This window comes from Homo sapiens, chromosome 15 (assembly GCF_000001405.40).
Source record: "Homo sapiens chromosome 15, GRCh38.p14 Primary Assembly".
Lineage (NCBI taxonomy): Eukaryota > Metazoa > Chordata > Mammalia > Primates > Hominidae > Homo > Homo sapiens.
In genome coordinates this window covers 83,877,794-83,898,855 of record NC_000015.10, presented here as the reverse complement: position 1 = coordinate 83,898,855, position 21,062 = coordinate 83,877,794, and the positions used below count along the sequence as shown (strand labels likewise).

The window sequence follows — 21,062 nt, the reverse complement described above, 5'->3', positions numbered from 1 at the left end:
GAGGCTATTTGTATGAATAATGAACCCAGAAATAACAAAAGAGAGTTTTACCATCCTCTCTCAAGTACTAAGGAGGAGTCCTTCTTACTAATAGTTGGGAATAATCTTTTCTCCCATTTCAAGATGGAAGATACTTTTCATGAGGATGGTTAACATTAAAGAACATGGAAATAATTATGTACAGAGAAGATCATATATCAGAGAGCTGATGCCAAATCCTCCTATCCCTGGATGCTACCCATTTCTGCTCTTTCATGTGGAACAAATGTGAACTACTGGAGAGATTATAAATGCATCCATAGATCTCCACTGGGAACGGGAAGTTTTCATTCATTCCATGCATTAGTACACATGATAAAGATGACATCATTCCTCCCTCAAAAATCTTATACTCCAGCGGAGAGGTAGCTATAAAGAAGAATGAGAATCTTGGGAAAAGAATAATTTCCTCCTCCTCCTCTACTTCTTCCTCTGTTTCTTGCTCTTCTTTCTTGTCTTCCTTCTACTTTTCCTTCCCCTCCTTTTTTAATCTCTCCCCCGCCATTCTTCTTCTTTTTCTTCAAGGGAGGGACTGCATTTAATTTTCTTACGTCCACCAAGAAATGTTAGTATAAAACTAGATAGATAGGAGCTACTCCATCTGTACTGAATCAACAGGAGCTCAGTTTTCCCTCCAGATGAATAATTCACATATATCTAACTTCTTTATCTAGATGGGAAGGTCTATTGCAATCTGTCAATAAAACAATTTTTATAAGAAAGTAGTAAGTTGAAAGGGAAATGCTACAATATTGGAATGGGAGCTGGAAAATACCATTTGATTTGAATTTACAGTGCACCACAGACTTACCTTTTGGTTTATAACACGGGATGGGAATGACACATTCTTCTTTGATGTGTAACTTCAGTTGTGGATTGCAGCCCCCAACATGCTCTCCGCGGTGGTTAATACACAGAACAACCCGGTACCGTAACCCTCGGCCACAAGTCACTGTGCACTTCAAAGAAGAAAAGAGAAGCCAACGCATTTCTTTTAAGAGAACCACAAAGGCATTATTTTATCGAATGCAAAGGAGAGCCATTGAACTACATAAATGTTAAACACAAAAGACTTTTAGACAAATATTATGTAAGGAAGGGTACAGAGGCTAATTTTCTGTGATACTTGTATTTCAGGGCCCCTCTTTTGTACAACCTTGTTCCACTTCTCAATTCAAAAAGTATTTAAGGTGAGATCATAGTTCAAGAAATTAAAAATGCCCTGAAATCTTACTGCTCAAATATCAAAGAAACTTGTTACAAGTTTTCTCAAGTTTGATTAAACGTTTACATGACCCTACCCAAAATAATTTTTGAAGACGAATGAAACCTTTCTGAACTGTCAATAAAAATATAATAAAATTCTAATGAATTATGCCAGAGGATTATTTTTCTATTCTGTCTATAGAAGTCAGTCTTGCAAAACTGCTACCATATAACGAGGCCATCAAAGAGTATTCAGCCAAACGCTATAGAAAAAAATACTATAGATGTATCCCCATACATCTATAACTGCCTGCAGTTAAAGTTAATAAAAACATTATGCTATTATTTTTCTGAATTTTTGTGAAGTTTGTGTTGTCAGCATTTTTTTTCTTGGATTATTTGTTTATGATTTGAAAGTTACTCTTGCCTATGAGTGGAATGTTTTCATGTCATATAAAAATCTAGAATAGCTTTTCAAATTTATCTGTTATGATTTGGCTCTGTGTCCCCACCCAAATCTCATCTTGAATTGTAATCCCCATAATCCCCACTTGTCATGGGAGGGACCTGGTAGAGGGTGATTGGATCATGGGGGCAGTTTTCCCCATGCTGGTCTCATGATAGTGAGTGAGTTCTCATAAGATCTGATGGTTTTATAAAGGGCTCTTCCCCTTTCATGCTCTCTCTCCGTCTCCCGCTGCCTTGTGAAGAAGGTACTTGCTTCTACTTCACCCTCCACCATCACTGTAAGTTTCCTGAGGCCTCCCCAGACATGTGGAACTGTGAGTCAATTAAACCTCTTTCATTTATAAATTAACCAGTCTCTGGTAGTATCTTTACAGCAGTGTGAGAATGGACTAATATAATCTGCATGTTGGGGAGTGTATATATGTACGCATTAAAAAAAATTGATAGACTATATTTTTTGAGGACCATATTGGGTTTATAGAAATATTGAGCAGACAGTACAGACAGCGCCAATCTTCCCCTTCACCCCTTTTTCCCCCTATGATTTTCCCTATTATTAACATCTTGCCTTAGTGTGGTGCCATTGTTCCAACCGATGAACCCCTATTAATACATCATTATTAACATAACTAATACATCATTTAATATATCATTATTAAATATTATCAAGTCCAGAGTTCACAATGTGGTTGTTGTCAGCTTTCTAAAATTTGTAATTTCTTATAATTTCCTTTCTGATTCTAAATAAACATTCTCTTCAATACTCAATATTTGTGTTTTATATTCTTGTTTTTGAGGAGTCCCCTCCAATCTGTACAAACTTCAGACCCCACTAATTCTGGATCCACCCCAGGGAGGGGCTGAGGGTTCTTGGTTGCCTTTGGTTACCTGCTATGGGACAGGCACCTCCTTCATTTGTTATCTCATGAATCCTCCCGACCCACTTCCGGGTCAGTAGCTTCAGGCTTATTGAACAGATAAGCAAATGGCCCACCATCTAAGGATCTTGCTCAAGGTCACACAGTTCCTAACAGGCAGAGTGGAATTTCCTCCCAGAGCCATCTATTGCCAAAGCCACGGCCAAGCCACCGCTTTAAGGAGCTTGAAAATTATTTTCTGACCCCCTAAGCACTTTGTACCTGGGTGTTGCTAGGGACAAGTTTCAAAGATATGTTTCGAGGATATGGAGGCCTTTCTCAGTGTACACACATCAGGCAGAATATTGGGAAATCTCTCTAGTTCATGATGCCACTCTTGAAACCACTGAACAAATACTTTAATGAGTTCAGCGAAGCTTGAGATTACCCTGTTTTTGGAAAATTGACTCACCTACCCCCAAATTTATCAATTTGAGATATATATATATATAATATTGAGTGGCTGTTTTAGCCAAGAAAGAAAAAAATTCACCCAAAAAGAAAGAAAACAGTACAAGATATAACTATACTACAACTGGTTAATCCAAAGGAGTATCCTCTCCTTTTAAACCGCCGTTCTGGGAAGCCGGACACTTCCCCTAATGGCACTGTCACTGTTTACAACGGTTCCAGAACTCCTCTGTGGAGCTGCATATGTCCTCGATGATGGAAAATCCTCATCACTGAGAATATATTTGATTTTTGAAAAAAGTGAAAAGTATTAAGGGTGAAGTATGGTGAATGAGAAGAGCTAGTTAACATCCTCTATTCTGATAATATACATAATGATAAAGTCATGATATTTATGGGGATGGAGAGTGATATAAAAGCTCTAAAGCCAACATAAAACATATGGCTAGGACTTATGAGAGCTGAAAACAAGCTCTGCAGTTGTAGAAATAATGTTGATTGGGGGCTGAAAAAGTGAAAGTCCCTAATGTCTCGATAACAAATCCTTTTGCAGCTGAGATGATATTTTTTGCTTTCAACAAAATAGAAAGAGGACTTAAATTGCCAGTAGAAAGACCCTTAAAAATAATTTTTGATGATAGACCATCACATGAATTCTGGCACGTAACTCAAGAGTTCAAAGAACAAACCGACCTTGCTAAAATAAAATCCTTCCATCCCGGTCTATTGATTTATGTGAACAAGCTTTCCCAGTGTATACATGCAAAGGCAAACAAAACAAAATAAGAAACCAATAGAAAAAATTAACAATAAAATCATTGCTGAACACATGGCTCATTCTGATGATGAATATATGGACTATTTTTTAAGTTCCACTTATCTTCTATCAAGATATATTAATGCATGTACACGATGAACTAAGTGTGTATTCAAATGAAAATGTAATTTTTATGTGTTATTCTTATTTACCAAACTTTGAAATATATATATATATATGTTATTTTGACTGTGTATTAAAATTAACTCAATTCAGAGGAATATTTTAAATACTTAGGGCCTTATGGCCACAGGAAAGTAAAATAAATTAATTTCAATGATCATATATATTTTCTTGGAGAGAAGTAGAATAGTGTAATTAAAAAAAGACTTTAAAGCATAAAAATACATTATATTAGAATAAAATTCTGTGGGGAGAGTAGATTGCAAATGTGAGTTCAAAGGGAGAAATATGCTCAACATCCAAATTGTTAAAGAAGAGCTCGCCCCTGTATTTTTTAAATGAAAGATGGCAAAGACAGAAATTATCATGGCATTTAAATTCCACTAGACAGATTTTTTTGAATGCTGCAACACTCTTATTTTAAAATGTCAACATTCACAACATGTTGAAATGATATTCTTTGTAATTATTTAAACTTGTGATAGGAAATTTCAGATGTCAACCTAAATATATGTGAAGAAATACGTAATTCTCTAATCTTCTTTTTAGGGAGTATGTGACCAAAAATTAATTGGTAACTTCTTCCCCAGCAAGTTTGAATAAAGTTCTTACAGGGTGATGATGTTTAGTCTGGGGATATCAGAAAAAGATTAATATGGTCTTTACCTGACACTTGTCCTTCAGGTTCAAGTGCTACCTCCTTTCTGAAGCTTTCCTGACACCTTCAGATGGAGTGAATCATTCCACCTTGTGCCTCTGAAGTACTGGGCACATGACACTACTCATGCACAATACAATACTGTAACACAACTTTGTTTGCATGCATGTCTGTGCAACTAGATTCTAAGCTTTTGGGTGGTTGGAGCAAGTTGTATTTACTTCTTAGTATGGTAGCTGACCCATTGAATAAATATATGAATAGATATATTAATGCACATATATGATGAACTAAGTGTGCAGAAATCACTTAAGAAAGCTGGAGAAACTTGAGTCAACTACATCTCACTCTCTAGAAAATTAAAGGATTAAGATTAAATAATTAAATACCAATGTCTGCATTTTTCATCTTTGACTAATCCGGCTGCATTTTATTTGTTCTGGAGGCTTACTCAGTCATCTCTTTAGAAAGTGAAAACTACGCTAATTTGACATGAACCTTGTTATACCTCTGAGGTGTCTTCCTTCTTCTGTTTTCTTTTTTCATACAACTTGACCCCACGGATGATTTCTAAATAGGCTGCCCGCCTCTGGTCTTTCCCAATGTTAGGCTATCTTGCCTCAATTACTTAAAATATATTATGTCTTCACAAAAATTGTGAAGGTTCTTAGTGGCTACTGGATCAAGGACACACACTTTCATGTCGTGTCAGCATTTCCAACTTAATCTCCCAATTCTTAGTAACATGGGCCATCTCTTCAATCTCTTAATCTTCCAGTTCTTAGTATCATGGGTCATCTCTTCAAATCTTCAACTTTGAGTCACTTCTTGTCATTACTGCCTTTGCTCAAGCCATCTCTGTTTGGCCATCTCCCTAACACTAACCCTAACCCAGTGATGTTTCTCAGGTTCTTGCTTGTTTACATTCTTCAAAGAATTTAAACAATTTAAATTGTAATTCTTGCTTGTTTAAATTATTCAAAGATGGATTAGGCACCACAAGGGCAACAAATAATTCCTGATTGACTCTGCTTCAACATTTGTTCTTTACAGATTTGTTCTTTACAGTACTTAATATTAATTACGCTGGTAATTGTATGGAAATATTATTATTAATGTCCTTAATATTAATTATCCTTACCTACCATGATGCTTGTGGTCTTTCTTCCCTCGTCCTCCAACTGTCTTCCTAAGCTCTTTGGAGTAGGAACCATGCTCTTTTACCACTTTTTTTTTGTCTCCATGCTGTCTAGCACCATGGTGGGCATATAGAAAATATCCCTTAAAATATGAGAATTAATTAAAAGTGGCATATTCTCAAATCTTACCTGAGACCACTCCATGGCAATCCACTTGGGGCAATCAAACAGATTACAAGTTTGCATAACCTTGGGTTTGGGTGCGTACATGCACTTCCATTCTTCCACCTGCAATATCTCTCCATGCATGGATTCCTCTACACACACAAAGCTCCGTCTCTGAATCCCTCCTCCACAGGACACGGAACATGCAGTCCAAGGATTATGTTCCCAGCTCAAAAGCAAACAAATAAAATTATATTATTTATTTGTTGTTTGTTTGAAGTTTGCAAAGATGGTGGCAAAAAGTATGGCCTTAAGGTATCAATTGTGGTTCAGCTGAATGAGCCTGGGACTGGGAGTCATAAGACTTTATACTTTTTTTTGTTGAGACAGAGTCTCGCTCTGTCACCCAGGCTGGAGTGCAATGGCGCAATCTTGGCTCACTGCAACCTCTGCCTCCCGGGTTCAAGCAATTCTCCTGCCTCAGCCTCCCTAGTAGCTGGGATTACAGGCATGCGCCACCACGCCCGGCTAATTTTTGTATTTTTAGTATAGACAGGGTTTCACAATGTTGGCCAGGCTAATCTAGAACTCCTGACCTCGTGATCCGCCTGCCTCAGCATCCCAAAGTGCTGGGATTACAGGCATGAGCCACTGTGCCCAGCCTTTTTTAAATTTTAATTAATTTAGTTTTTTTTTTAAGATGGAGTCTCTTTCTGTCACCCAGGCTGGAGTGCAGTGGCAAGATCTTGGCTCACTGCAACCTCTGCCTCCTGGGTTCAAGCTATTCTCCTGCTTCAGCCTCTCAAGTAGCTGGGATTACAGGCACCTGCCACCAAGCCCGGCTAATTTTTCTACGTTTTAGTAGAGATGGGGTTTCGCCATGTTGGCCAGGCTGGTCTTGAACTCCTGACCTCAAGTGATCCGCCTGCCTTAGCCTCCCAAAGTGCTGGGATTACAGGCATGTGCCACCACGCCCGGCCAAGACTTTATTCTTAACTGCCACACACAAATTCTTGTCACAAGGTACTTAGCTCCTCACATCCGGGGTTTCTGTCAACTGGGAATAATATACCTTCCCTATTTACCCTTCATAAGACCATTGTGAAAATTAAATCAATTAAAACATACAGTGTGGCTGCATCTTCAAACTGCCTCTAAACTGTTAAATACTAATGGACAATATTATTAGAGAATCACAGAACCTCAGAGTCAGGAAGGACCATACTACTCATCTCGGTATAAAAGGGGATTAAAATTTCTGATTAATTGCAACACTTGAGCTCCTGCTATAATACTCAGTTGTCCAAGATATGCTTGACAGCTCTAGCGATGGGAAACATCATCTTTTGAGGCAGTCTATTCCATCTAATTCTTAGAAAGATTTTTCCTATTATTGAGTAGAAGTCTGTTTTCCCTTAGCTCTATAAAGTATTTAATATCTAACCCTCATACATTTTAGGCTATTGCTACAGATGCTACAGTTCCTTGCAAACTACTTAAATTGCAAAAAGGAAAAGGAAACATATAACTCACCGAGGAAGAGGTTGGAAGTGGTCATAGGGCATTATCTCTTTAAATCCATCACTACAAATGAAATCATTGTGAGAATATCATTTCTATAATAAATTAACACATTCATTAATTGACGAATATAATATTTGACATCCCAAGAGACAGAGCTCTTCCAAATTGGAAACTAAAAATATCAAGTGTTATCAACCATTCCCAAAAATTCAGCCACCATCTCTTTAGTTGTCAAGAATATCTACGACACAAATTCCCCAGTTCTATTTGAAAATGTAGAAAACTAAACTAGCAGTATATTAATCAAAGGAGAAAAGTATCTTGCAATTTCAATAAATTTATTCCTTTTTATAATCATTACTCTCTTAATATATTAGTGATATTAACACACTGTCCTATTAGTAGGCTCTTCAGAAAACCACTTTATTTCACAGAATTTGTCCTTTGAAAGGTCTCTATTAATAATTATGTTCAACCAGGCTTACAGGAAATGTGCAGTTCAGTAACAGGAAATGAAATCCACTGAGAACGCTTCCTTTTCCACTTGCACACTTCTTCCTAAGCCAGCTGGCAGATATCTGGAGGATTCTGGGACTTGATATTGTTCTGTTATTTTAAGGTATTGTAGTAAGCCAGGAAACTTCCCCAGGCAATCCAAGTCAGCAGGTACTAAATTATGCAATAGGATAGTTTACACATAGCTTTTTATACTTTGGCATTAAAACTTTTACTTCCTTGCACAATGCATTATTTATACTGAATTTAATATGAATACTTCAAAAGCCAAAAGATGATAATGAGTGACCCAGTTTAAAAGCTAAAGTGGTGAGTGAAAGATATTTATGATTGGCAGATGGACTAGACATTTTACTTGGATGAAGAGAGCAGGAGCTGTTCAAAAGGGTTCATTATAAAAAAACTTAGGAACACATAGCCCACGACAAGAGAAAGCTAGACTTTCATTCCTAATGAATGTGTCCTAATTCCTATGCACCATAGTTACAAATGTGAATGTAGGCACCTGCCGCCAGTAGACAAAGCCAGGAAATGGAAATGTATTGCCCTGCAAAGATTGATCAGTCTCAGTTGAAGCTGATTTGTTTCTTTTTGAAGTAAAAAGGGTGTGGACAATGACACAAACCTTGATGGGCAGGGATCCATGCTGCATTCCTTCAGTTTTGGTTTTGGTTTTACATTTTCAGGGTAGTAGTGACAATAATGGTCAGGAACTACCCTCTTCAAGCGGATATCCACACATTCAGCAGAATTGAGCTGATAACCTAAAGTGTTAGAAAAGGCAAGTCTGAATATTGCATCCGTTTCATTTTTACTTGGCAGAGTTATCACTTGCCACACACTTTTTTTTTTCCTCTTTAAGAAACTTAACTCAGTGGTTCTCAACCCTGGCTCTATAACAGAACCACATGGGAGCTTTTAATATACTCTAATGCCCAGGTTCCTTCATGGTCCAATTAAGTCAGAAGTCCTGTGGCTGGGATCCAGGAAAACAGTATCTTTTTAAAAAGATTCTCAGGTTCTTCTCAGATGACTAAAATGCGTGGCCAAAATTGAGAACGACAATTAATACCAACTGTGGTACTCTCAGCACTTCGAACTAAAAAATGACAATAGTCTCCTCTTAAGAACTGTTTCCAGCCCAGGTGCAGGAGAGTTATTCATTCTCCTGGGTTCATTGTCTTTTCTCCTCATTGTCACCACGGCACTGTGCAAGGCCCTTCTCTCATTTCCGTATAATCTCTCTTCTTCCCTTATTGACACTCCCATTCCAATCCCCGCAACACACCTATTTCGATTTGTTGTTGATACGTCCTGAAATATGCAACCGTCTTACGTAAGGTTGTTTTTTTGTGTATCTGTTTTTAACTTAATAAATGATAATGTGTTTTAAATCTTGTTCCGTTTTCCACTTTTTTCACTCAACATCATGTTTTTGAGAACTACCCTTGCGCTGGGTGGTTGCTGGGTTGAATATTTCTTTCATAACATTTTATGATATGCATACACAGTACCGCATTTTACTCCTCTGCTCCCCTGGGATGCCACAGGCACCTGCAATACCAATAAGCTTTCCAAATGGGGAATTAAGCATTGTCTATACAGAAAGGAACAAAATCCATCCCCGTATGTCACTCCCCAGCCCTCATCTCACAAGCCTTCAAACGGAAGGAATGAAGACTTATTCCTGATTCTATTAAATCTAATTTGTAGAGTTTCTGAGGAAAGTGAACTTTGCAAATAGATGAGTGCTATAAATTTAAAAAGCAAGTCACAAAATGATGCTTCTATTTCCTGAAAGATCTGATTCCAAGTTTCCTGTCACCACATAAGTGTCTTGTTAAAGTTAAACTTTTTCAAAAAAAGGTAATTTTTCAAAACTAGAATGAGCTCTTTACGAAAGAAAAAATGCCCAAAGCCAAGCACTCTGCCTCTGCCAGTTGGTCTAAAGGTCTAAAAATACATTTAAAGTCCTGATTGTCGAGAGGAATCTGATTTTATAAACCACTAGACAGCTTTCTACAAGACATGGCTTGGATGTAAGCTGAGTGCAGAAGGACGGACTGGTATGCATTATAAAAAGCAAGGTCGAAACCGCAAGAATGAAAATCCAAATGGAGTCAATAAAATGTTACTTGGGTGCCAATATCTGCCAGAAAGTCAACGATATCAGATGGCAATGGCAATCTAGGTACCTTCTCCAAATTGATCTCAAGTGTCTCACATCGACGATTACAGACGGGACTAGGAAAGTCCATTCAAGTACCCCCGGTACCTTAGAGACCGATGAACTAATTTTCTTGATTATCCAAAAAACTCTGAAATTCCATTCACACACATCACACAGATTTGATTACTAATATAATTAAATTTTGGTAATGTTTTCCTTGTGGGTTTTATGTGTGTGTTTTATTTTCCCCAAAACAAGTACAAAATGAGATTACAGCTCCTTGAGTCAGAAAAAAAAAATCTTTGTTCTAAATAGAAATAGACTTCTAAATGAAAACAGGGCATATACAGGTGTTTATAATTTGAGGAGAGACAATTAATTTTCCTCTTTTGTTTTATCACAGTTTAGAAATAGCAAAAAGCAAAAGAAATGAGGCAGATTGCCTTTCTATATCTTGAACAAATGTATTGAAATTCTGCCAGTGTATAGAAAACGGCAGGAACCCCAAAAGCAGCCTAAAATCTCCCTTCTGTTCTTACATCCACTGCTGTCTTTGGAGACGATCTCACTGCTAAGTGCTCATGCACATTTATAGTTCCAGCAGGACTATGTCTTTCCATGGGCACCCAAGTAGGAGAAACACCTATTTGCTTCCCAAGAATTTGATCAACTGGACTAAGCTGAATCCCACTATAAAATGTCTCCTCTGGAGTAGTAAGTGTCTTTTATCTTATGGATCCAAATGTGAACGTCTCTCTGAATGACTATGTGTAAGAACAAAGAAATAAAATTTAAAAAAAAATAGATGTTTGAGCCAAGCATGGTGGCACACGCCTGCACTCCCAGCTACTCGAGAGGCTGGAGTGGGAGGATGGCTTGGGCCCACCAGTTGGAGACCAGCCTGGGCAACATAGTGAGATGCCATCTCTACAAAATACTTTAAAAATTAGCCAGGCATGGTGGCACATGCCTGTAGTTCCAGCTACTCGGGAAGCTGAGGCTGGAGGATCGCTTGAGCCCAGGAGTTTGAGTCTAGCCTGGGCAACTTGGTGAGACCTGCCTCTAAAACAAACAAACAAACAAAAAGGAGAGAGAGAAATGTTTGTTTTTCTGCAGAGTAAGAGTACCCAAAGAGTCATAAGTGACTCAAAGATGTAAAGGAACCTTTGCCTCATAAAAATGCTTGTAACATTCAAGAAAATTCTGGAGGAATTGAAAATAACCTGAATGAATGTCAGAGCTGGTAGAAACTTGAAGATGACTTACTCCACTGGTTTGTTTTCACTGTATTAATTTTGTGATTGTACTCTATTTGTGACAAGGGATAGATTTCCACTTACGGTAGTACTACTAAATTCTTTTTGTTAATATGTTTATTTAAGTTGAATAAATGCCCCCTTAAAGAAAAATCCTTTAGTAAATAACAGTGCAGGAATAACACAGATATGGCAAAAATAGTGATGGCAATATGGCTCCAGCTGCTATCCAAAGACACTGGCTTAAAGAGGCAATGGTTCTCAAAGTGGAGTGTGTACCATCATCTCCTGGAGGATGAGCCACACTCTGGGGTTTCTGACTCAGTAGGTCTGTGGTGGGGCCTGAGAATCTGCATGTCTAGTTAGTTCCCAGGAGATGCTGATGCTGCAGGTCCAGGAAGCCCACTGTGAGAATCACTGCTGCAGGATCATAATCAAGTGGTCCATTGCCTCAACCCTGGCCCTGGGAAGAACTAGCTGGCGAACTGGGGAGATTCACTTTTACTTTCTTTCTGTGGCACTATTCAGTCTTCTCTTCCATTTCCAGGGACATAAACTTCTTCTTGGGCCTGGGCTGCCCAGTGCTTCCCAAAAAAGTGCCTGCCCTGTTGTTTTAGGGGGAGCCTAAATTCCAGAAGAGAGACATCTGCCTGCATATTCACAGCATATTCACTGACTGAAGAGCCCTCCTTCATATACCTGTAGTTTAAAGGAGAAAGGCCAGTTTCTGACTCTAAGTAAATTGATATGCGGTAGGCTTCAAGGATTGAAAAGATGTGGAGCTAGGCTGGGCTGGAGAAGGATTTATTCTAGCTCTTCAAACAAGACCATACCTGAGCCTGTATACCCTGATCTGGTCCCAGGTGTAGTAGGAGGTTTAGGGGAGGCAAAGGGCAAAGTCATTTAGAGCATGACTCTGACATCAAGCAGACCTGGCACCAGATCCTAGCTGCACTGTTTACTAGCTGAACAAGATACTACTGTATGCTCTTTACACTTTCTAAGTGTCAGTTTGTTCATGCATAAGACAGGAATAAAAGAGACCTTCCTTAGGGTTTTCGTCAAGAATAAATGTGATTATGAACATCTAACCCTTGGCTTGACACATGGTAAACACATAGTACCACTGCCTGGTACTCTAAGGGGAAGCTTCAACATAAATCCCTATTCTACTAAGTCATGGTTCCTGGGTTGCATGCATTTATTCTTTGATTTAAAAGGTCAGTTCAGAAAAAGAGAATTATTTTGACAGTAGCTCTAGTTGCCTCCTAATTTGCTCCAGAGAGTTGCCAGTTCTCCATATCAAATGGACAATTATCTTCCACCGGAGCATGAAAGATGCTGCTTTTGTAGCGTGTGTGTGGAGCCCTGGATTACACTTGTCCCCAAACCTTCCTCAACTGCCTATGAAAACCTTGAAAAAGGCTGGGCACAGTGGCTCATGCCTGTAATCCCAGCACTTTGGGAGACCAAGGTAGGTAGATCACCTGAGGTTGGGAGTTCAAGACCAGCCTGGCCAACGTGGTGAAACCTGTCTTTACTAAAAATACAAAAATTAGCCAGGCATGGTGGTGGGCACCTGTAATCCCAGCTACTCAGGAGGCTGAGGCATGAGAATCGCTTAAACCTGGGAGGCGGAGGTTGCAGCGAGCCGAGATTTGGCCACGGCACTCCAGCCTGGGCGACAGAGCGAGACTCAAAAAAAAAAAAGACCTTGAACTAAGCAGACAATAAGCAGGGCTTTCCCCTTAACACTTAGTAGGGACCCTTTCTCTTTTTAATAAGCTTATACTCTTGCACCTGAGGAGAGAAAAGTTGTAAATCTAACGTTAGAACCAACACACCCATTGACTCAACCAGGCTGGGCAAGTCACTCCATCTTTCTGCTTCTCAGATTTTTCATAGAAAATTAAAAATAATACGTACTTTAAGGGCAATCAAGAAGAGAAATGCAGTAACACATGAAAACAAGTTTGTTTACAGTTTTGTTTTGTTTTTTTTTTTTGGCTAAAAGTAAAAGGTATTTTCCAAATCCAGTTTTGCACCTGTCTTCAAGAATAAAGGCAAATGCATCTTCTTCATTAACACGATTGCATTCAGGCTGCTGAGTAAGGTGCTGTGTGATGAGACATCTCTAATCACCACACCAATTTTAAAATCAGCTTCAAAAATGTAAATGTCTAATTTATCTAACTCTGAGCTCTAAATATTCATGAACAAAGCCTGGGCCTCACCTCCTCCACACGTCACAGTGCAGGGAAAGAAGTCAGTTTGTCTCCACTGATGACTGATGGGCTGGTAAAAGAAGAACTGAACCACGCTGTCTTTGGCTGCAGTGTACCTGGTCTGGACAAAGAGAACTGTGAGAACACACGTGCAAACAAGGAGCTAGTGCTTTCCACACCTTTCAAAATAAGATAAATGTTCTTCATGTATGTAGACAACCACCCATCCATTAGAAAAACTATGGGGCAAGAGTCCAATAAGTTTAAGATGTGATGACATTTCATTAAGATTTGTCATAAATGGGGGCTCAGGTGATCTTCTGCAAATCTCCCTGGAGTCATTTTTCCAGATAATTCCATGCCTGTGAATGGATTCACAAAAAATGTAGGTAGACTTTTTTGTTTGTTCGTTTCACACTGTCTTTCTTCCTGAAACATTGGATTTTAATTTTGACGACACAGATTGAGAATTGATTTGGGTTTGCTCACAATATAGCACATAGTGGAGACTCTTACATTTTTAATAATAATATATTTAAGCACATCCTTCTGAAAAATTCTTCTAGAAGCACAACTGCAAGAACTCAACTTAAGTGTACAAATATATGGTGTTTAAACAGTCTAGTATCTAATTAAAAGGAAATGGGGGCCAGGCACGGTGGCTCACACCTGTAATCTCGGCACTTTGGGAGGTCAAGGCAGGTAGATCACTTGAGGTCAGGAGTTCGAGACCAGCCTTGCCAACATGGTGAAACCCCATCTCTATTAAAAATACAAAAATTAGCCCAGCATGGTGCCACATGCTTGTAGTCCCAGCTACTCAGGAGGCTGAGGTGGGAGAATGTCTTGAACCACTGTCTCAAAAAAAAAAAAAAAAAAAAAAGGAAATAGGGCACCAATGAGGTAACATATATGTTAATTAGTTCCATCTAGCCATTCCACAATATACACATATTTCAAAATATCATGTTATACACTATAAATATGTACAATTTTTGTCAATTAAAAATGCTAAGAAAAGATTAATGTGGCCAGGCACAGTGGCTCACGCCTATAATCCCAGCACTTTAGGAGGCTGAGGTGGGTAGATCATCTGAGGTCAGGAGTTTGAGACCAGCCTGGCCAACATGGCAAACCTGGTCTCTACTAAAAAATACAAAAATTAGCTGGGTGTGGTGGCATGTGCCTGTAGTCCCAGCTACTCAGGAGGCTGAGGCAGGAGAATAGCTCGAACCCGGGAGGCGGAGGTTGCAGTGAGCTGAGATCGCACCATTGCACTCCAGCCGGGGCAACAAAAGTGAAACTCCATCTAAAAAAAAAAAAGTAAAAGAAAAAATTAATGTGTTAGAAAAACCAGGCCAGGCACAGTGGCTCACACCTGTAATCCTAGCACTTTGGGAGTTCAAGGCAGGAGGATCACTTGAGGCCAGAAGTTTGAAATCAGTCTGGTCAACATAGCAAGATCCTATCTCTCCAAAAGAAAAAGTTTAAAATTAGCCAGGTGTGGTGGCATGCACCTGTAGTCCCAGCTATAGCTACTGGGGATGCTGAGGCAGGAAGACACCTTGAGTCCAGGAGTTTGAGGCTACAGTGAGCCATGATCACGCCACTGCACTCCAGTCTGGGAAACAAAGCAAGACTCTGTCTCAAAAAAACATGAAAAAGAAAAATCTCTAAAAAATGCAATTGAAAAAAAAAAAAGAAATAAAATTGGGATAAAAAATTTTAACAATAAAAATAAATATGGTGGGCCAGGCGTGGTGGCTGATGCCTGTAATCCCAGCACTTTGGGAAGCTGAGGCAGGCAGGTCCCTTGAGGTCAGGAGCTCAAGACCAGCCTGGCCAACATGGTGAAACCCTGGCTCCACTAAAAATACAAAAATTAGCTGGGTGTGGTGGCACGTGCCTGTAATCCCAGCTACTCGGGAAGCTGAGGCAGGAGAATTGCTTGAACCCGGGAGGCAGAGGTTGCAATGAGCCGAGATCACACCATTGCACTCCAGCCTGGGCAACAGAGTGAGACTGCATCTCAAAAAATAAAATAAAATAAAATAAAATAAAATAAAATAAAATAAAATAGAAATAGTATTATAAAAGATATTTCATATGAGAAATGCTATATTTAGTGGAAGAAACAGCTTATCAAAATAATACAGTTTAATTTTTAAAGGGAATTTTAATAAGGAATATCAATAAATCTGCTATATTTCTTTAAAAAATAGAGATAATAGACAAATAGAATGATGAAGAGACAATATTTAATGATATAATTGCTTAGAATTTCCTAGATTTTAAGAAAGACAGAAGTCTCTGTTTCAAAATGCTCATTGAGTTCTAGACATTTTAAAAAATAAAACAAAAAGCATAAACAAAAATCCTAAAAGTTATCACATACAAAAATATGATTACCTAGAAAAATGTGAAAAATCAGATTAACATCACATTTCTCACAAGCAATATTGGATTCAAGAAAACAAAGTCAAGTCCTCAAAGTGGTGAGGGACAAGAATATTGGATCTAGAATTCTATAACCAAGTTATTAATCAGTAATCAGTTATCAGCTATTCACCTATAATCAGATGACCAATCATTAATCAATGAAATAAATATATTTTCCGACACAAAAAGATTGTGAAACTTTAACACTTAGAGATATTCACTGGAAAAAAAGAAAAAAAACTACTAAAGAATGTACCTAAGAACTAATATAAATACAGAAGTGGTGAGATGCAAGAAGCAATAATGATTAAATAAATCAGTAAAGCTTATGAGAGAATCTAAACAAGGACTGATTTTAAAATAGTGGTTTTATGTGCTTAATTACAAAATGACATAAAAATTCCAGACACAAGATGTGTGTGTAGGGGAGGAGAGGCAGGGTTATGGTAACGGAGTGGAGACAGCACAGGTATTACAGAGATAGGATACACTGCTAAGGAGCTTTGTTTCTGGCTGTGGCAGGACTGCTTGTTTCTGATGAATCTCCCCAATGAGAATAAATAAAAATGCTGCCTAAAATTTTCCTTTTTCTTTTTCTGTCTTTTTTCTTTCTTTCTTTCTTTTTTTGACACAGAGTCTCGCTCTGTCGCCCAGGCTGGAGTGCAGTGGCGCGATCTCGGCTCACTACAAGCTCTGCCTCCCGGGTTCACACCATTCTCCTGTCTCAGCCTCCCAAGTAGCTGAGACTACAGGTGCCCGCCACCATGCCTGGCTAATTTTTTGTATTTTTTTTAGTAGAGATAGGGTTCCACTATGTTAGCCAGGATGGTCTCGATCTCCTGATCTCATGATCCGCCCACCTCCGCTTCCCAAAGTGCTGGGATTACAGGCGTGAGCCATCGCGCCCGGCCTTTTTTTTTCTTTTTTTGAGAGGGAGTCTCGCTCTGTTACTCAGGCTGGAGAACAGTGGTGCGATCTCAGCTCACTGCAACCTTCGCCTCCCAGGTTCAAGGGATTCTCTTGCCTCAGCCTCCTGAGTAGCTGTGATTACAGGCGCACACTATCATGCCTAGCTAGTTTTTGTATTTTTAGTAGAGATGCAGTTTCTCCATGTCAGCTAGGCTGGTCTCAAACTCCTGACAGCAGGTGATCCACCTGCCTCAGCCTCCCAAAGTGCTGGGATGACAGGCATGAGCCAAAGCGCCTGGCCCATAAAATATTTTTAGTGTATTTTAGTGCATCAGAAAACTACCATGCCAGTGAGGATTTGCAGGACTAAGACCAAAGACACAAAAGAAACTCAGAAATGTGAGCAAATTTGGCATGACATTTGGCTCTACCTTTTTGCTCAAGGCATTTTCCAGTCTGCAAGTGGTGGCTGAGCAGCTGAGAAACTGGACAGATCTGTCATCAGCCTCACGTAGTGGAAAGCGAACACTAGAGCTCAAGGCCTTCCAAGGTGTCAGGTGTTGGTAAACACCCCAGGTTCCCAACCCAGGACCCTAGAAAGTTCTATCATAGGAATAAAGTAAACTGGAAACACGACAACCTTCAAAGGGAATAAAGCCCTGGTTCAAGTTATTTCAATTCTTTGTTGGATAAAGATCACTGGTTGCTAACCTAGCTGTCTTCTAGAAGCAAAAATAAGACAGCTAAAATAATCCAGTTGGAAGAGTGTTAGACTGAAGATCTAGAAGCAAAAATAATCCGATAATAATTTTTAAAGGGGATTTTAACAGAGTATCAATAAATCTGCAACAATCTCAAATTATATCCACAACCTTTCTTCCACAATATACAGCACAAACTTTAAAAATAACCAAGAATAGAAAAAACAAAATTTAATGACAACCCAAAAAAGTGAAAAAAAATAGATATTATAAACATAATGACAGGAAATCCAGATATTGGTATTAACTGATGAAAATATAAAAACTTAAGTACACCATTACCACCTCCTGCAACCCTGGCCTTGGCTTCAGTCTTGTTTCCCCGCAGGAGGGGCCTAGCAACACCTTATGCTATTCCTATGATTATAACATAAGTATTGGAACACTTTGCCTCGGGCTCTGTTTTTCAGAGAACTTGGAACAAGATTAAAATGTTCAAGAAATCAAATTATAAGATGGGGAATTTCACTGGAAACAAGCTATAACTAAAATGGAAATTCTAGGAATAAAAGATGCAATAATTTAAATCAATATCTCAATGGACAAACTTAAAAGTGGATTAAAATAGACTTTGGCAAGTATTTTATAAAGAGCCAGATAGTAAACATTTTAGGTTTTCAGGCTACATGGTTTCTGTTGCAACTATTCAATTCTGCTAGTATAGTGCAAAAGTAGCCATTGACAATGTGTAAACAGATAGGGGTGGCTGTTCTGATAAAACTTTATTTACAAAAACAGTGATGGCCTGCTGGTCGTAATCTGCTGATCCCTGAATCAGACACACCTGAGCAAAGGATCAGTAAAATGACAGATAAAAAGAAAGTGGAAATTAGACAAATTGGATACAGGTAAAGGTATAATTACATATAAATACATAACAAAGAGCTTGGGACAGAAGTTAATCTGAAGAGATAATAAATGAGAATCTGTCAAAACTGATGGTGGATCTCAAGCCACAGATTCATGAGACACCTGGACCTCAAGCTGAAGAAAGGCACTAATTACACCATAGCCCAGTTGATGAAAACCCAAAACAAAGGGAACACACTTAAAAGCAGATGAAGAAAAAGGACAAATTACTTTCTAAGGAACAAAAAGAAGACTGATAGCTGACTTCTTCACAGAATAAACTGAAGTCAGAAGACAATGGGGAGATATCCTCAAAGTGCTGAAAGAAACGTTTTATAATAACAGAAGGGTCAATTCACTAGGAAGATGCAATGATTCTAAATGTGAACATACTTACCAACCTAGCCTCAAAATACAGAAGGCACAATGCACAGTCACGGGGTAGTTTTAGCACATCTCTCATGATAGAATAAGCAGACAAAAATCAGGAAGGTTATAATTTTGAATAACACAATTACTAAACGTGACCTAATTGACATACATAGAACATTGTATCCAACAACAGAAGACTACACACCACATTCTCCCAAACTTTGTTATATTCTGAGCTACAAACCAAGTTTTACAAATTTTGAAATATTGAAATAATATGGAGTATGTTCTTTGACCACAGTAGAATTAAGCTATAAAAATAAATTTTAAAAAGATTACTGGAAAATTCCCTCATGGTTGGATGTTATACTTCTAAATAATCTACAAGTCAAAGAATATATAATTATGAAACTTACAAAGTAATTTAACTGAATGATGAAGGAAAACATTTCATATCAAAATTATTAAATTAAATATAAGGCATGCATTGAGAGAAATTTATAGACTTAAATGTACATGTTTTAGGGAGAAAAGATGAAAATTAATGATTTCATAATCCATCTCAAGAAGTTTAGGAAAAAAACAGCCTATGGGATCTAAAGAAGTAAGAGTGGACATAATAAAGATAGGGGCAGATATTAATGATATGGAAAGAAAACTAGAGTAAAACAGTCATGAACCCAAAAGTTGTTTCTGCGAAATGTCTAATAAAATTGATAACCCTCTGATGTGACTGAGCAAGGAGAAGAGTAGGCACAAATAGTCAATGACAGGAATGAGAAAGAGGACATACTACAGGTTGTTCAGAAAGTGAACAAATAATAAGAGAATGCTATGAAAAGTATGCCAATAGCTTTTTAAAAGTTAGTTGAAATAGACAAATTCATTGAAACAAAACGGACATAAGAAATAAGAAAATCTAAAGAATCTGTATCTTTCAAAGACATTAAATGCATAATTCTAAACATTTCCTGGTGCACACTGCCAAACATTTAAAGAAAAAAAAAGGCATCAAACGTTTGCAAACTATTGCAGAGAATAAGAGGAAACACTTCTAAACTTGTTTTATAAAAGCAGAATAAAATGTCAAGACCTGAAAAAGGCATTCCAAGAAAACAAACAAACAAGCAAACCCTTTCCTTCACATAGGTACCAAAACAACAACAAAAACCTTAAGTGAAATAATTTAAAATCACATCTAGTGATATATAAAAGGATACACCTTTTAACAAACAATAAAATAATTAATATTAACAATGAATTCTATTTTTTTTTTTTGAAATGGCGTCTCACTCTGTCACCCAGGCTGGAGTGCAGTGGCGCAATCTTGGCCCACTGCAACCTCTACCTTTCAGGTTGAAGCAATTCATCTGCCTCAGCCTCCCAAGTAGCTGGGACTACAGGCACATGCCACCACACCCGGCTAATTTTTTGTATTTTAGTAGAGACAGAGTTTCACCGTGTTAGCCAGGCTGGTCTCAATCTCCTGACCTCGTGATCCGCCTGCCTTGGCCTCCAAAAATGTTGGGATTACAGGGGTGAGCCACCACGCCCGGCAACTAACAATAAATTCTAATTGAAAAGAATAATGACTAAGTAGGTTTATCACAGGAAGATACAGTTGGTTTAACATTTGAAAAATCAATGTCATTTATTACATTAAAAAGGAAAAAGGAGAAAACCATGTGATCATCTCTAAAGATGCAGAAAATGCATCTGATAAAGCTCTATGCTTGTACATAATGAAGCAAACTAGAAAAAGAAAAAATTCTTTCACCAAATAAAATATCTATAAAAAATTTTATAGTAAACATCATATACAATGGTGAATTACAGGGAACTTTGCTCCTGAAGTGAGATGCAAAACAAGGACAGCTGCCATCTTCATTATTTGCAGATGTCACAATTGCGTACGTATACAATCCAAAAGAATTCACAAACTATTAGTATTAATACATGAATATAGTAAGAATATAATGTCAATACACAAAAATCAATATTTCCACACCCCAGAAACAAATAGAAACTGAAAAAAATACCATTTATAGTAACATCAAAATAACCAACACCTGAAAATAAATGTAATAAAAGATATTAA

General features: G+C 38.1%; 1 protein-coding gene across 12 annotated transcripts in view; it reads right to left on the bottom strand.

The window, feature by feature from the left end:
- The window catches only part of ADAMTSL3 (ADAMTS like 3), a 385,720-nt gene that overhangs the window by 140,987 nt on the left and 223,671 nt on the right, over window positions 1-21,062 (bottom strand). For all 12 annotated transcript variants that reach the window (XM_011521823.3, XM_017022434.2, XM_011521822.3 and 9 more), the window contains 5 exons: window positions 13,644-13,755; window positions 8,609-8,747; window positions 7,477-7,527; window positions 5,968-6,172; window positions 851-998 (listed from right to left, as the gene is read on the bottom strand). In XM_011521823.3, the coding sequence (XP_011520125.1) occupies window positions 851-998; window positions 5,968-6,172; window positions 7,477-7,527; window positions 8,609-8,747; window positions 13,644-13,755 (655 nt within the window). The remainder of the gene's footprint in view (window positions 1-850; window positions 999-5,967; window positions 6,173-7,476; window positions 7,528-8,608; window positions 8,748-13,643; window positions 13,756-21,062) is intronic.